The following is a 15,367-nucleotide window of genomic DNA, read 5'->3' as shown; positions in this document are numbered from 1 at the left end:
TGAGATTTCTGTCCTCAGATCTCTCATCCAGCCACTTTCCTAACCTGGCAACCACTGATTTCCAAGCATAGCCTTGGTGCAAGGGCAGAAATCTGGGCTAGTGGTTTAACATGTCTGAAACTTTGGGTTAAGTGTCTTCCCAGAAGCTTATCTTTCCTTCCAGGGGTGGGATAAAAGGAGTTAATCACCCATGCTTCTTTTCCCCATCCTTTGCCCATCTTTACCACCTGAGGGATTCAGGAACTTGCCCACCCTCAAGAGCCTCAAAGGATAGGCCAGAATTAAAGTCAGAAACTTTAATTTCCAAATATATTGATCAAAAATATACAACTTCAACAGCAACTCTTTATCCTAAGGAGAGATCCCGCAGTATATCTAGGGAAAGGGCCATAAAAGTGAGGGGGTAGAGGACTTTGGGGTATATCCCAAACTTCCCCTGCAACTAAACAGAGTTTGTTCTCTGCATTAACAACACAGCGATTTCCTCATTTCCTCCTACATGTTTGGAGAGGCTGAAGGCTCTGCAGTTCTTCCTGGAATGACAGCCTGGGTCCATTCCTCTCTAGGAGATGTCCAGGGGAAGGAGGACATCTGCTTACTACTCCTACAGTGTTTCTGGCCAGATCCTACACCCCATTTTAGAGGCTTCCTGATAGGCATGAAGGGAAGTCATCCACATCCATGGTATCTGAGAAGGAATTTATGCCTCAGTCGTGGCTTGTGCTGAGGTGAAGACCACACTCTTTCGGTTTTCCAGCCTCTTCTTCCTGGAAAGGGGAATGGCTCATGAGAATGACTGCTATCTAAGTGAAGCAGATTAGAGGTGAAATAGGAGAATGCTTTTTAACAGAAAAGAGGGCTGGGCAAGGTGTTTCACACCTATAATCCCAGCACTTTGGGAGGCTGAGGCGGGCGGATCACTTGAGGTCAGGAGTTGGAGACCAGCCTGGGCAATGTAGTGAAAACCCGTCTCTGCTAAAAATACAAAAATTATCTGGGCATGGTGGCACATGCCTGTAGTCCCACCTACTCAGGAGGCTGAGGTGGGAGGACCACTTGAGCCCGGGAGGTGGAGGTTGCAGTGAGCTGTGATAAAGCCATGCACTCCAGCCTCGACAACAGTGAGAACCTGTCTCAAAAAGCGGGTGGCTCATGCCTATAATCCCAGTACTTTGGGAGGCTGAGGCAGGCGAATTGCCTGAGGTCAGGAGTTTGAGACCAGCCTGGCCAATATGGTGAAACCTTGTCTCTACTAAAAGTACAAAAATTAGCTGGGTGTGATGGTGCGTGCCTGTAGTCCCAGCTACTCGGGAGGCTGAGGCAGGAGAATTGCTTGAACCCAGAAGGCAGAGGTTGCAGTGAGCTGAGATTGCACACCACTGCACTCCAGACTGAGTAACAGAGCAAGACTCCGTCTCCCACCTACCAAAAAAAAAAAAAAAAAGAAGAAGGGACTGGAGGAATGGAAAGTAGGGCCTCACCGAATCTTTCTAGCAATGAAATAAACAGCCAGGAGAAGGCAGAGACAGCCAACCAAGATTCCTACACCTAGACTCAGCATTTCACCTGGGGGAGATAAAGGTAAAAGGTGTCAGCCTAGGACTAACATAGATTTTGAGCCTTTCCCCCACTCGGTGAGGACACCTCCCCTCCCCGCATTATCTTATAAGGCTGGCTTACCTGTGGTATACGAGGATCCTGCTGTAAGAGAAGAAAATGGGTCAGTGGGACTTCAGATCCCCATCCCAGCTGGGAGCAGCACTCTCTGCTGCTGTGCCTGGGAGAATCCCCCGGGGGCACCCTGGGGTGGGGGTTGGTTCCCAGTCCAAGCAAGTCCCAGAAACCCCCTCCCCTTTTAGCCTTTTCTTCCCATTGGCTCCCTAGTTCCTGCCATTGTGTCCCCCTCAGTTTCCCATCTCTTCTGAGCCGTGCAGAATCACCTTGGATGAAAGAAGCAAAGACCATGCGCTGATTGAGAGGCTGAAGGGCTCGGTAGTTCTGTACCAGAAGCTTAGAGGGCTCCTCTTCTGTGGAGAACAATGTCCCCTGAAGCTTTTCCAGCTGAGGAGCAGAAGCGTGGGAGAGGTGTTACTTTGGGGAGTGGGAAGGGGTCTGAAGTTACAACTGTGTCTCACCTCACCTCGTTTCTCCACCACTTACCTGTTCCATTGAAATCTGGGACCTTCTATAAAAAACTGTCCAGAGCACACTCTGGTAGCAAGGGGGAGTTGTGAGCGAGCCATTGTAGCGGAAGTACTGCCCCAGCTGTTTGGGGAGCAGCTCTCTTAGGTTGAAGGGAGGCACTGAGGTCTTCTGATCTGGGGAGAACAGACTGGGACTCATCTTCCTTTCAGTGTGCCCTAGCTTACCTAGATAGGGCTCCCAGAAGCAAAATTCCTTGGCTCTATGTAATTGCTTCATCCCAAGGCTTTTAAGGATAGTTTTTGAAAGTCTAATCTTACTTCCTGCTATAGATTTTTAAGGCTCACCTTTATGCCTGACTTCATGCAAGTGACTCAGAATGTGTTCATAAGCTATATTCTTAGTCTCACCCACCTGGAAGAGAAGGAAAGGGAGAGAGTTTGGAATGAGTCCATGTTTGGAATAAGAAATTTATGTACAGAATAAATGGTCAGGGTGGGCTGCTGCCTGCCATAGGAAGGAGGCCAGCAACAGAAATAGGTTTGAGGGTTGCAGAGGAAGTGGAGAGAAACCTGGAAGGGACTGGGGGCTACTGACCTCAATTAGGATGCCCAGGACAGCCAGGCCCTGAGGCCTCTCAGCAGCCTCACTCAAGCTGTCATAGGAATCAGAGTCATAATGTACAATGTGGAGCTAAAGGAAGGAAGAGGGAATTGAATCATGGAATGTCTGCACCCCCTTCAAGGCCTTGATCCTAGCTGCCACCATCCCCCCGCTGTCCCCGGCAGGCACTAAGTCTGTCCCTCAGAGATTGGCCTTATCCCCCCAGCATGACTTTTCCTAAGGTCCAGATCCTTTCCCCAGGACCACCCATCCCTGTTACTTTGTCTGAGTCCCAGCTCTTTGTTCCCTGGTACCTCTGCAAATGTGGCTTCACTGTTGATCTGGTGTTCTGACCCCCCTGGGGATCCTTTCTGACCCCAGTGCAGGTGGAGCTGGGCAGCTACATATTTTCGGGGAAGTCCACCCAGATACAGGGTAGAGGGCAGAGAGAGTTGCACTGTGAGGAAAAGAGCAAACTCGGATTGGTGGAGGCATGTGGATACATTCCCACTCCTGGGTTGCCACCACTTCTTGGGAGACTTGGCCCTCTTCCAGTTTTCTCCCCCAGTAGCACCCAGTTCCTCCCATAGGCCAGTGCTTTTCTAGCATATCTTCCTTTTTCTTGGTGAAGACCAAGTCAGTGCAATGATACCTACCTACTGAGCTTGGTTATAAACATTTCGATTCCCGCTTTGGCTACAGGATCCTGATCCCCATTCTCATATCTCCAAATTCATGGACAAAGGTTTTTGAGAATTCGTAGGTTAGGAAAATGCTGCTTTCCTCTGACTCCTGAGGTTATTTGTTTGTTTATTTATGTCAGATGGGTAATGTGCCAACATCTTGACAAGATTTGAGGGCGGCACATCTTACGCATGCTCAGGAACACCCCATCATCATGCCCATGAACTACAAAAGGATCTGACTCCTAAGATCTGAGCTGGAGCCTACAACTCCTTGGAGCCTGTGCTTTTACCTGTGTGGCCATTGTTGTGCAGGTCCAAAGGCTCGGTGCCAGGCTGGTCATATCCGTGGGGCTGCAGAGCAGGCAAATCAGGGTCAAATGTCACACTGTCTGTCTGAATATCGATGGGCGACTGGGCATTGTTTCCACACTCAGGGTAAGAGGCTGGCCAATGGTCCTGACCATGTGGGCCTGGTGGGGGTTACCAAAGACATTGGTCCTGTCCTCCAGCTCTAGCTACCCTTCAACAGCACCCCCTCCCTTTGACCCTTCCCCTAACCAAGCCATACATCTGTGTGGAGGTAGAAATGGACTTCCCTCCACCCAGGTTAAGACCCCAGTTGTATAGGGATGGGTGAGGTAGGAGTCCTGTTGAGTCTCATGCTGCAGTTCCCCTTCCCTACCCAGAGGCAGTGATGATTCCCCAACTATCCTGATGAATGGGGAGTGGTAGCTCTTTTACTTACCTGTATTTTGAGGACAAGAAAGCTGAATGAGGGCAGAGGGGATGCATAGAAAACCTGAATACCCTGAGAGATGGGATTAGAGAGTAGGAGTAGAAAAATGGGAGAAATAAAATGATCCTAGATAGGCCAGGCACAGTGGCTCATGCCTGTAATCCCAGCACTTTGGGAGGCCGAGGCAGGTGGATCGCTTGAGGTCAGGAGTTCGAGACCAGCCTGGCCAACATGGTGAAACCCCATCTCTACTAAAAATGCAAAAATTAGCCAGACGTGGTGGTGGGCACCTGTAATCCCAGCTACTCGAGAAGCTGAGGCAGGAGAATCACTTAAACCCAGGAGGTGGAGTTTGCAGTGAGCCCAGATTGCGCCACTGCACTCCAGCCTGGGTGACAGAGCAAGACTCTGTGTCAAAAAAAAAAAAAAAAAAAAAAATAACCTAGAGAGATACGGTCTCCTGGAGGCCCCTATCAAGTGGCCTTGGGATTCAGATATCCTGACTTCTCATCATTCACTTCTTGCTCTCACACTGACCGTTTATCATGAACTTGAGTTTGGTTAAGTCATTAATCAGTAGTTCATAGGAACTGAGTTCCACCTCCCCCAGGGTCAGAAACTATCCTGCCAGCCTCTTCCTCACCCCTGACCTCCAGCTCTGTCCCAATTTCAGATGCAGGTTAGGGGTAGGATGGATTAGGATAGACGGAGCCAGAAGGAGACCTGGCAGCTAAGCTCAGAGTTCCCACCCAGCTTCCTTTCCACCCCAGCTCCCTCACTCCTACACGATTTACTGAGGACTTAACTAGCTTTTCTGCCAAATCAGGAGGTGTAGGATTTGATGATTAGAGCAGGATCTAGGAGCCATATATGTGAAACTCAAGGCAGGAGGAGATCCAGAAGGGAGGAGCTAGGGTGAGAAGGTAAAGGAAGTCTCCTCCCACCCGCACAGTGTGTCTTCCTGCCAGGTGAGGAGGTCCCAGTGTGAAAGGGTTGTCGGGAGGCCTTGAGATCTGCTCACCCTCATACGTCCAGTGTTGACCTGCAAGGCAGAATAGTTTGGGTTACAGCCAGCGCAGCCTGGGGCAGAACCCTGGCCTCCACACTCCCCTCCCTCTGGCATTCTGTACTGCTCCACCTCCCTCTCTGCAGTCTCTCCTCCCTCTGCTCCAGCACTTTGCAAAGGAAGCCCTGAAACCGGACACCTCTGTGGAAAGGTCGGGGGGCCTATTTAAAATCACCAGCCAGGCTGTGTTGGTGCCTGCCGAGTAAAAGGGGAGGAGGAAGGAAAAGAGGTAAAGCCCAGAGACTAAAATTAACCTGGATCCAAATGTGCGATTGGCCCAACCCTTTCTTTTCTGTAACCTGTGCCAAGTCAATCTAACACTTAGAAGATTGGGGTGGGTGGGGTGAGGGTGTGGGCAGAGGGTTGGAAGGATAGGGACTAGAAAGCGGGGAGGAGAAAGGAGTTTAGAGTGTGTGTGTGTTGGGGGGTGCTACTGAGGGGAGAAGGGGAGATTATTCCTTTGCTTTAAAAAATTGCATGAATAAAGCCACTGAGCTGTAAACTCATATGTAAATTCTTCTTTTCTGGTCCCATTAGCTCTAGAGGAAACTCCTCATCACCAGGAGGCTCTGCTCCCTACATTCTGAGATGGTTAGGGAAGGGTGGGAGTCAGGGCAGGGTCTACTCTAGATTGAGGGTGGTGGGTGGGCACAGGCAGCCAGGCTGGCAGGGACAGGATGAAAGTGAAGCATTGTGTGTAGAGAAGAGAGCTGCCAGCTGGGTCACATGCCAGGCTCTCGTGCAGTCCTGTCTGACGCAAAGGCTGAGGGTCTGCAGGTCCAGCCCCTCCCTACGGCCAAACTGCCTCAAGAAGAAAACGAAGGCCTTCATGGTTTATGCTGCAATATTCATACTACTAGAAACTCTGGAGAAAAATCCTAAATTCCTTCCTCTCTCTGTCTCTTATTCCCTTAAATTCCTCAAACTTGTGAGATGTCCTGCTCTTATCCTTGACCTATTCTGCTAGCCCAAGGGAGAGCTGGAGGCAGCCTCTCATTTTACCATATCTGTGGGACCCCCCAACAACTCAAACTCCCTGGTCTGTAAAGGTGCCTGTCCACTCTGGTCAGAGCCTCAACACACTTATTCTGTCTCTTCCTCCTCTTTCCCTCTTTTTTTCTTTCTCCTCAGATGAGATTTGTGACTCTCCATTTGGCTGCCTGCCTGCCCCCATCCTCTCTGCATTTGCCTTCTGCTCTCTGGACACCCACCTCACCCTGCTCTTTCCACAAACCTCAGTTACACACCTAGTATGTGCTGGACACTGTGCTAGGCACAGGAAACACAAAAATGAGGTCTAGGAGTTCCTGGGGACACTCCTGGAGCGCTTCAGCCTGTTCTCCCAAGAATCCCTCCTCATCTCCTGGGAGCTCCTGAAAGTCCTTTGTAAACTGTAAAATGTCAAACAAATGTTGACTCTTACTGCCACTTTCAGAGGATAACTGGGGAGTTAGTCGCTCCACAGAATGAAGAGGGAATCTTGGCCAAAAGGGGATGAATTGGAGATCAGGGTCTGAGTTGGGCAGGAAGTATTCTTCCCCCTACCCCCATCTATCCATCTTTTTACTCCAGGCCTCTTTGACTCCCTATTTGGAGGAGTTTGTAAATAAAGAAGTCCAGGAGTCCTGCCTGGGACCAGGGCAGTGGGGGAAAGAGCTCTGGAGAAAATCTGTAGCCTGCAAAGAGATTCCAGCACTTGCATGTGTACACACTCTGCCTGCCTGCCGCTAGTTCTCCCCGACCTCCAATAACAACAAGGCTGGAGAGACAAAAGGTAAAGAAGGGAAGTGGTCTCCTCCACACCCCACTCTTTTTTCCTCATCTCTGAGCCTATTATTCCAGCCTCTAGGCTTCCTTTCACACCTCTCCTCCCCCCATTAAGCACACCTGGCGACATGTGAACATCAGCACAAATCCACACACAGACATTTAGTTGTACCTACCCCCATCTGCAGCCAGGATCCAAATCACCTCCAGCAGGAGGGCGGAGAACAACATAGTGTCCCAGGAAGGGGTGCAGGGGACTGGGAATTTGAGGACTAGAGGACTAGGACAGGCAGAGAGAGAGGGAGGGAGGAGTGAGAGAGAGAGAGAGAGAGCGAGCGAGCTCCTGGCGTGAGTGTATTTATCTCTGCTTCTCTTGCTGTCTCTGTCTCTGTGGGCTTCCAGGGGATTCGGTGTTCAGTAGGGTATCATGGGTTTCTGGATCCCCAGGACAAATCTCTTGCTGCCTCTTTGCCCTCTCTCTTTATCTCCCTCTGCAGTCTCCACTCCACTAGCTGGCCAGCGACTTTACAACTGCCTCCTGCTTTTAAGGTGGCTCTGAACTGGTGTATGTGGGGACGGGGGTGCTGCCTGGGCTGCTGGTGAACAGCTCCTTAAATAGCCAATTAGGCATGCAGGATGGCCCCACTCGGAGCTGGAGCGCGGCAAGTTTCACTGGAGCCCTGGCCCTGGCTCAGGAGCCCAGCTGGGGTGAGCTCTTCCTTCCTCTGCTAGTCACACAGATGCTGTTTAGATGGGTGTTCCCTGGAGCAGGCAGGGTCAAGGAAGGGGCTTTGGGGTTCAACTCAGCCCCCTCAAAAGGACACTGTATTTTCATCCCCCCGCCTGATTTCTCCTCTGAGGAGCAGCTCCCTGGGTGGTATGCGGCAGATGGTGGGGGTACCTGTTCCCAATTCCCTGCATAATCTGAGCTGCCCTGGAATGGGAAGAGTCCAGAATTAGGAGATATATAACAAGAAGGAATTAGGGACTCAGGGTGCAGGGGAGGGGTGGAGGAAGTCAATAACTAAAACCTGAGTTGTGTCCTAAGTTCTAAGGAAGAGAAGTGAGGCAAGGAGAACTCATCTGGAGCAATCTCTTCTGTGCCTGCCACCACCCCCTTCCCACGGTGAGGCCTGGGTCCACGTGCCTGTGTGGCCTGGGGTGGGGGGAGTGCGGGGAGGGAGCGTTGTTTGCTGGATAAAGCCCATTTGTATGCCCAGTGGGGGAGGGGTGTAGCAGCACCATGGAGAGACAGCGGCTGTAACTGCCAGACCCAGCCACCTCCCTCTCCAGGGAGCCCAGATCTAGGGCGGCTTTTGTCACTGAAGAGGACACTGACCTCCGGCAGAGAGGCCAGGGCAGGAGGAAAGGAGAGACTTTAGGAACAATCACTACCACCATCAGAAAAAGGTGGTTTCCAGAGAAAGAGAGGGGAGGGTCTGGAGAGACCATGTGATCCAGATGGAAGAGGGGCTCAGGGTCTTCCTTCCAGCCCAACAAAGGGCTGAGGCAGGACATGTGGCACTGAATGAAACCTGCCACCAAGGAGCTGCGTCCGTGGAGCATGGAGGCTGCACGTCTCAGGAATGTGAACTGATGTTTGCTCCCCACGGGACTGGAAATCCCGATTGGAATGTACATCCTAAATCCCTCGTTAGAGAATGTGAAACCCACAGATACTTTCAAGCCAGACATTGAAACCTCTTTCTCCTCCATGCTCTTCACCAGAGGCACCAGCCAGGAGGATGCACCCATCTGAAGCTCCCTCTGCCCTCCTTGCTCCTGCCGAGTAGCAATAAATAGCCAAACAAAGGGAGCAGAAGCTAAATAAGGGAGCAGGATAAAAGCCAAATGAACAGAATAATGCATGTGCTGGATCATCAGCTCCTGCAGAGACAGGAGCTCACTGTGCCTTTCTATCCCCTGTGATTGATCTGCAAAGCCAAGCCATTTTGCTGATGTCATTTCCCTTTTTCTTCTCCTATCACCCTCTGAGTTATTTGTCCCCTTCAGGAAAGTTTTATGTTTTGAGGTTCCCCAAAGCCCCATCCATCCCATCTAAGAAGAGTAAAAGACTTGAAGTATAAATTAGATTTCCCGGGAATCAGGGTACTTAACACAAAGAAACAAAAAAAGAAAGCAGAGACATCTTGGTATGAAAGAAGAGATTTAGTAGGAAAGAAGAGGTCTGAACAGAATGACCTCTGCCGGAACAGAGTTCCCCTGGAGCGCTGAGCTGAGATTCCGATTTCCAAGGCAGATAGCGTGTCTTGCCAGGCGCCACCTCCTGGCTCGTCTATGAATTTTTAAATTTTAATTTAAAATGCTTTGTGTATGTGGTTCCTTCTGGGAGGTATTTCACTGCTGCTGGGCTTTGGGATTTTGCCTACGCAACTGAACATTGTTTCACAAAGATATCTTAGCCTGGAATCAACACTTCCCTGATCTTGGGTGAGCAACGCATCCAGGTGCTTATGCTTCCCAGACGACAAAGGCCCTCCTTTCTAGGACAGAGGGAGCCAGAAGGCGAGCGCCGTCCTCCAGGCACTTGACTTTATCTTGATCTTTGGCTTTACTGTGGATATTTCTTTTGTTGCTTTCTAGCTGTGCTGATTTGGAGTAGGTGTCAAGGGGACCCTTATATGTAAGTTAAAAAAAAAAAAACTGACACAGCTCCCTCTCCCCACTCAGTCTTAGTTTCCACTCAAACTCTGGCACCTTTGTTTTAGTTCTGACCTCTCTCTCAAGCCCTTTCCTTGCTTGCATTGGCTAAAACCGTTAAAACCAAAACCAAGCATCTCACTGCCTTCTGGCGCCATCTCCTGTCCTTGTAGATATACTGAAACTTGACTGAGATGAGGCGTGGTGGCTCACGCCTGTAATGCCAGCACTTTGGGAGGCCGAGGCAGGTGGGCCAGGAGTTCCAGACCAGCCTGGCCAAAGCATAGCAAAACCTCGTCTCTACTAAAAATACAAAAATTAGCCAGGCGTGGTGGTGCATGCCTGTAATCCCAGCTACGCAGGAGGCTGAGGCAGGAGAATTGCTTGAACTCGGGAGTGGGAGGTTGCAGTGAGTTGAGATTGCTCCACTGCACTCCAGCCTGGGTGACAGAGTGAGACTCTGTCACAAAAACAAAAAAGAAAAAACAAACAAACAAAAAAGAATTAAGTAATTTTGGAAAAAATGACCCTTTGGATCATTTTCTTAGTTTTCCAGTTCACATTACACAACAAATGTAGTATGAGAATCTTGTAAATTGAGGACCGGTAAAAGTTTGTGGTCTGAAAATTTGCAAGTCATTTAATTATAAGCGATAAGTTACACTATTTCAGTTGCAATTTTGTGTTATACATTGATTCCATGAACAGAACGCTGCCTGGTACATAACTGTTGATTGAATGAATCTAGTAATTGCAACATTTATTTACTGTCTTTCACAGAATTTTAGAGCAGAAGGGCCCTCAGGCATCATTCTAAACCCCTTGTTATACCCTGTAAAACTGAGTTTTGAGAGATTTAGGGATTTAGCCATGGTTAGTCATATAGCTGCTAGGCTAAACCAGAACAAGGACACAGGCACCAGTGAGCTTTCTCCTACACCATTGGTTCTCAAATGTCAATGTGCATCAGAATCACCTGGAAAGCTTTTTAAACTTGGAAAGCTTATTAAAATACAGATTTCTGGCCAGGTGCAGTGGCTCATGTCTGTAATCCCAGCACTTTGAGAGGCCGAGGCGGGCAGATCACCTGAGGTCAGGAATTTGAGACCAGCCTGGCTAATATGGCGAAACCCCATCTCCACCAAAAATACAAAAAAATTAGCCAGGTGTGGTAGCGGGTGCCTGTAATCCCAGCTACTTGGGAGGCTAAGGCAGGAGAATCGCTTGAACTTGGGAGGCAGAGGTTGCGGTGAGCCGAGACTGCACCACCGCACTCCAGCCTGGGTGACAAGAGCAAAACTCTATCTCAAAGATAAAATAGAATAAATAAATAGAGATTTCTGGACCTCACCCCCATAGTACCCGATTCTATAGTTCTGGGTGTGTCCAAATCTACATTAGAGATTTGGCATTAGAGAAATTAGCATTTCTCTTTCTCTCTCTCTCTCTCTCTTCTTTTTTTTGTACAGTCTCAGCTGGGCGCGGTGGCTCACGCCTGTAGTCCCAGCTACTCGGGAGGCTGAGGCAGGAGAACCGCTTGAACCCAGGAGGAGGAGTTTGCAGTGAGCCGAGATAGCGCCATTGCACTCTAGCCCGGGCAACAGAGCGAGACTCCATCTCAAAAAAAAAAAAAAAACAGAGTCTCACTCTGTTGCCCAAGCTGCAGTGCAATGGCATGATCTTGGCTCACCGTAAACTCTGCCTCCCAGGTTCAAGTGATTCTCGTGCCTCAGCCTCCCAAGTAGCTGGGATTACAGGCATTTGCCACCACGCCCGGCTAATTTGGTATTTTTAGTAGAGACGGGGTTTCTCCATGTTGATCAGGCTAGTCTTGAACTCCCTACCTCAGGTGATCTGCCTGCCTCAGCCTCCCAAAGTGCTGGGATTACAGGTGTGAGCCACCACGCCCAGCCTCTCTCTTTTTTTTTGGAAGCAGGGTCTCACTCTGTCCCCTAGGCTGGAGTGCAGTGGCAGAATCATAGCTCACTTCAGCCTCAAACTCAAATGATCCTCTTCTCAGCCTCCTGAGTAGCTAGGTCTACATGCGCATGCCACCATGACTGGCAGGTTTTAAAAATTTTCTTAGTTTTTGTAGAGACAAAATTTTGTCATGTTTCCCAGGCTGGTCTCGAACTCCTGGGCTCGAGTGATTTGCCCAGCTTGGCCTCCCAAAGTGCTGAGATTATAAGCATGAGCCACCGCAGCCACTTCTTTCTAGTCACCATGAATAAAAGCACTATAAGTATTTGAGTACAGGTCTTTGAGCAGACATATGTTTTTATTGTTCTTGAGTAAATACCTAGGAGTGGGAATAAATAGATACTGAGTGCTGGATTGTACGGGAAGCGTATGTTTAACTTTGTAAAAAAACTGCCGGGCTGTTTTTCTTTTACTTTCTTTTCTTTTGAGACGGCATGGCTCTGTTGTCCAGGTTGGAGTGCAGTGGCGTGATCTTGGCTCACTGCAGCCTTCCCTTCCTGGGCTCAAGCGATCCTCCCACCTCAGCTCCCAAGCACCTGAGACTACAGGTTCATGCCACCACTCCCAGCTAATTTTTTAATTTTTTTGTAGAGACAAGGTTTCACCATATTGCCTAGGTTGGTCTTGAACTCCTGGCTCAAGTAATTCTCCTGCCTCAGCCTCCCAAAGTGTTAGAATTACAGGTATGAGCCACCATGCCTGGCCTCTTTTATTTTATTATTTATTTATTTATTTATTTTTTGAGACGGAGTCTTGCTCTGTTTCCCAGGCTGGAGTGCAGTGGCATGATCATGGCTCACTGGCAACCTCTGCCTCCCAGGTTCAAGCAATTCTCCTGCCTCAGCCTCCCAAGTAGCTGGGACTACAGGCACGTGCCACCATGTCTGGCTAATTTTTGCATTTTTAGTAGAGACAGAGTTTCACCATCTTGGCGAGGCTGGTCTCTAACTCCTGACCTCATGATCCACCTGCCTCAGCCTCCCAAAGTGCTGGGATTACAGGTGTGAGCCACCGCGCCCAGACTATTTTATTTTTTTTAATAGAGATGGGGTCTTGCCATGTTGCCTAGGCTGGTCTCATCTCCTAGGTTCAAGTGATTCTCTTGCCTAGGCCTTCCAAAGTGTTGGGATTACCAGCGTGAGCCATTGCACCTGGTCCCCAGACTGTTTTTCATAGTGCTTATACAGTTTTTCTTTCCCACCAGCAATGTATGAGTTCTAGTTGTCCTCATCTTTACAAGCATTTGATATTGTCCGTTTAAAAAAAAAAAAGGTACAGCCGGGCACGGTGGCTCACACCTGTAATCCCAGCACTTCGGGAGGCCAAGGCGGGCGCATCATGAGGTCAGGAGTTCGAGACCAGCCTGGCCAACATGGCAAAACCCCGTCTTTACTAAAAATACAAAAATTAGTCAGGTGTGGTGGCTCGTGCCTGTAATCCCAGCTATTCTAGAGGCTGAGGCAGGAGAATCTCTTGAACCTGGGAGGCAGAGGTTGAAGTGAGCCGAGATCATGCCATTGTGCTCCAGCCTGGGCGACAAGAGCAGGACTCCGTCTACAAAAAAAAAAAAAAAAAAGAAAAAAGTAGCTATTCTTCTAGTGTATAATGGTATCTCATTTTGGTTTTAATTTAGGATATCAACTTTTTAAAGGGTTTTTGCTATATTTGTTACCATATTGCCTTCCATAAAGGTTATACTCCTCCAATGGTATTTATACAAGTTGTTACTCTTTTCTTCTTTGGGGAGATAAACAAAGGACTCTACAATTGGTGTTTCACACTAGGCAAAAATTCAATATTTTTCTTTCCCTTGTGACCTTTTAGCTATCATACAGAAATAAAATTCACTTGTAACATGGTTAAATTTCTGTACAGTGAATATCATCCTTTCATGGACTTTCAGAATAAAATGAGAGATATGTTCATTTGGAGGAAATTTTGGCTTAAAGATAAGTAAAGGCTACATTAGTGAGTGTAGCAAACTCTTAAAAAACACATATTGAAAGTAAACTCATTATTTTATGAGAAAGTATAACACTAAAATAATATATACTAATGCAAAATACTGTTTGTTGAAATAGCTCAAATAATTAAGCAGGAGAAAATCATAATTAAATAGATCAGATTGCACCAAATAATCACCCAGCTTCTATCAAATTTCACTATATTTCAGTAGAATTACATTCAACTCTGATTACTTAGATTTTGTTTTTGGTGTTTTGTGGAAGCAATTGGCTTGATCGAGCTAAAATTAAATGGAAACACAAATACAACACTGGCAAAAATATCTAAACTGTATTAATAAATAGAGAAATATACCTATTGAAACATGACAGATGAGTATAGCAAGGTCCTGTCAACAGATATTGTACATTGAATAAGTTTGAATTTGGCATGCTAAATTTCTATATAACAAGATATAGCCAGGTGTAGTGGCTCACACCTATAGCCTCAACACTTCAGGAGGCTGAGGTGGGAGGATAGCTTGAGCCCAAGAAATTTGAGGCTGTAGTGAGCCATGATCACACCACTACACCCTAACCTGGGTGATGGAGCAAGAAAGACCCTGTCTCTAAAACCAAAAAAATGAACCAAACAAAAACAAATCAAAAAAGTTAAACAAACAAACAATATACCTACATTCTTATCTTTCACCACAGAATAAAAAATGTTGATATCAGTTTAAAGACTGCTGGTCCACTCAATATGTTTCATTGTGTTTATGGAAGGTCCACAAGTCAGTGGTTAACTAACTCACATTATTATTGTTATTATTTTTTGAGACAGAGTCTTGCTCTGTTGCCCAGGCTGGAGTGCAGTGGCGTGATCTAGCTCACTGCAACCTTCACCTCCTGGGTTCAAGTGATTCTCCTGCTTCAGCCTCCCGAGTAACTGGGATTACTGGCTCCCCTAACCAAGCCCAACTAATTTTTGTATTTTCAGTAGGGACAGGGTTTTGCCATGTTGGCCAGGTGGTCTCAAACTCCTGACCTCAGGTGATCTGCCCGCCTCGGCCTCCCAAAGTGCTGGGATTACAGGCGTGAGCCACTGCGCACAGCCTATTTTTAAATTTAATTTTTATTTTTATCAAAGTAGAACAGGTACATAGTTTAAAAAGTCAAATAGATCAACATAGGTTATAATTAAACACTCTATTCTTCCCACATCTAATTCTTACTTCCCAGAGATAATTGCTGCAACTTTCTAACTTCCTCCTAGTATTCACCTCAAATTTCCAAAAACATATTTATACTGCTATGTCTTGATTTTTTAGAGTTTCAGGTATTTGTGAAAGCTAATCCACCATGTTGGCTTCTGATTAACCCCAGTTCTGGGAAGGCCTCTAAGATTTCAAGTTTGCCTATTGTTCCTGGTGTAAGAGCAGGTATTACCATACATTCTGCCCTTAGCTCAAACAACCTTGATGTTATCGTATCTATACATCCCTTCTGAATCACCCTTTCCCTGTAGTATAGAAGCCCCAGGTCTGGGGGTAATGGAGCAGGAAACCACCATCTCATCTCACCATTGCCCAAGACATGCACACGGCCTCTGTTCATAAGTCTCTATTAAATGTTTATTTCTAAGAAACTGGACTTGTCAGCCTCTTTCTTTGGCCTCTCAGCTTCCTTGGACTTTTGGAACAGGTTTGCATAGGCCTGCCCTCTGCCACAGAATTACCTATTAACTTCCAACCACAAAAGATGAGGAGTTACTTCTTTTACA

At 47.6% G+C, this 15,367-nt stretch overlaps 1 protein-coding gene and 1 non-coding gene across 8 annotated transcripts, besides 1 other annotated feature; both read right to left on the bottom strand.

Moving 5' to 3' along the window:
• On the bottom strand, positions 282–7,586 carry CA14 (carbonic anhydrase 14). 7 transcript variants are annotated; one of them, XM_011509379.4, is made up of 11 exons: positions 7,177–7,586; positions 5,112–5,209; positions 3,722–3,782; positions 3,060–3,202; positions 2,740–2,835; positions 2,490–2,556; positions 2,161–2,318; positions 1,941–2,061; positions 1,681–1,701; positions 1,482–1,566; positions 282–767 (listed from the first exon to the last, which is right to left on the bottom strand). In XM_011509379.4, the coding sequence occupies exons 1-11, from the start codon at positions 7,229–7,231 to the stop codon at positions 701–703; spliced, it is 972 nt and encodes a 323-aa protein (XP_011507681.1). In that variant the 5' UTR covers positions 7,232–7,586; the 3' UTR covers positions 282–700. The 7 variants fall into 7 exon arrangements, with proteins under 7 accessions (XP_011507681.1, NP_036245.1, XP_005245116.1 ...); NM_012113.3 differs by having other exon boundaries at positions 3,722–3,901; positions 5,189–5,209; XM_005245059.4 differs by having other exon boundaries at positions 1,681–1,698; positions 3,722–3,901; positions 5,189–5,209.
• Positions 3,563–3,666, bottom strand: SNORD13C (small nucleolar RNA, C/D box 13C). Its single transcript, NR_145745.1, has one exon. It is a non-coding gene; the product is annotated as a small nucleolar RNA, C/D box 13C (small nucleolar RNA).
• Positions 8,702–9,396: an enhancer, noted in NCBI's record as "H3K27ac-H3K4me1 hESC enhancer chr1:150228359-150229053 (GRCh37/hg19 assembly coordinates)". NCBI's record gives its function as "activates a minimal SCP1, AML or CMV promoter by ChIP-STARR-seq in primed H9 embryonic stem cells {active_cell/tissue: H9 hESC(primed)}" and the evidence as "EXISTENCE:reporter gene assay evidence [ECO:0000049][PMID:30033119]".

The sequence above is a fragment of the Homo sapiens genome, chromosome 1, assembly GCF_000001405.40.
Source record: "Homo sapiens chromosome 1, GRCh38.p14 Primary Assembly".
NCBI lineage: Eukaryota > Metazoa > Chordata > Mammalia > Primates > Hominidae > Homo > Homo sapiens.
This window is presented reverse-complemented; position numbering and strand designations above follow the sequence as displayed.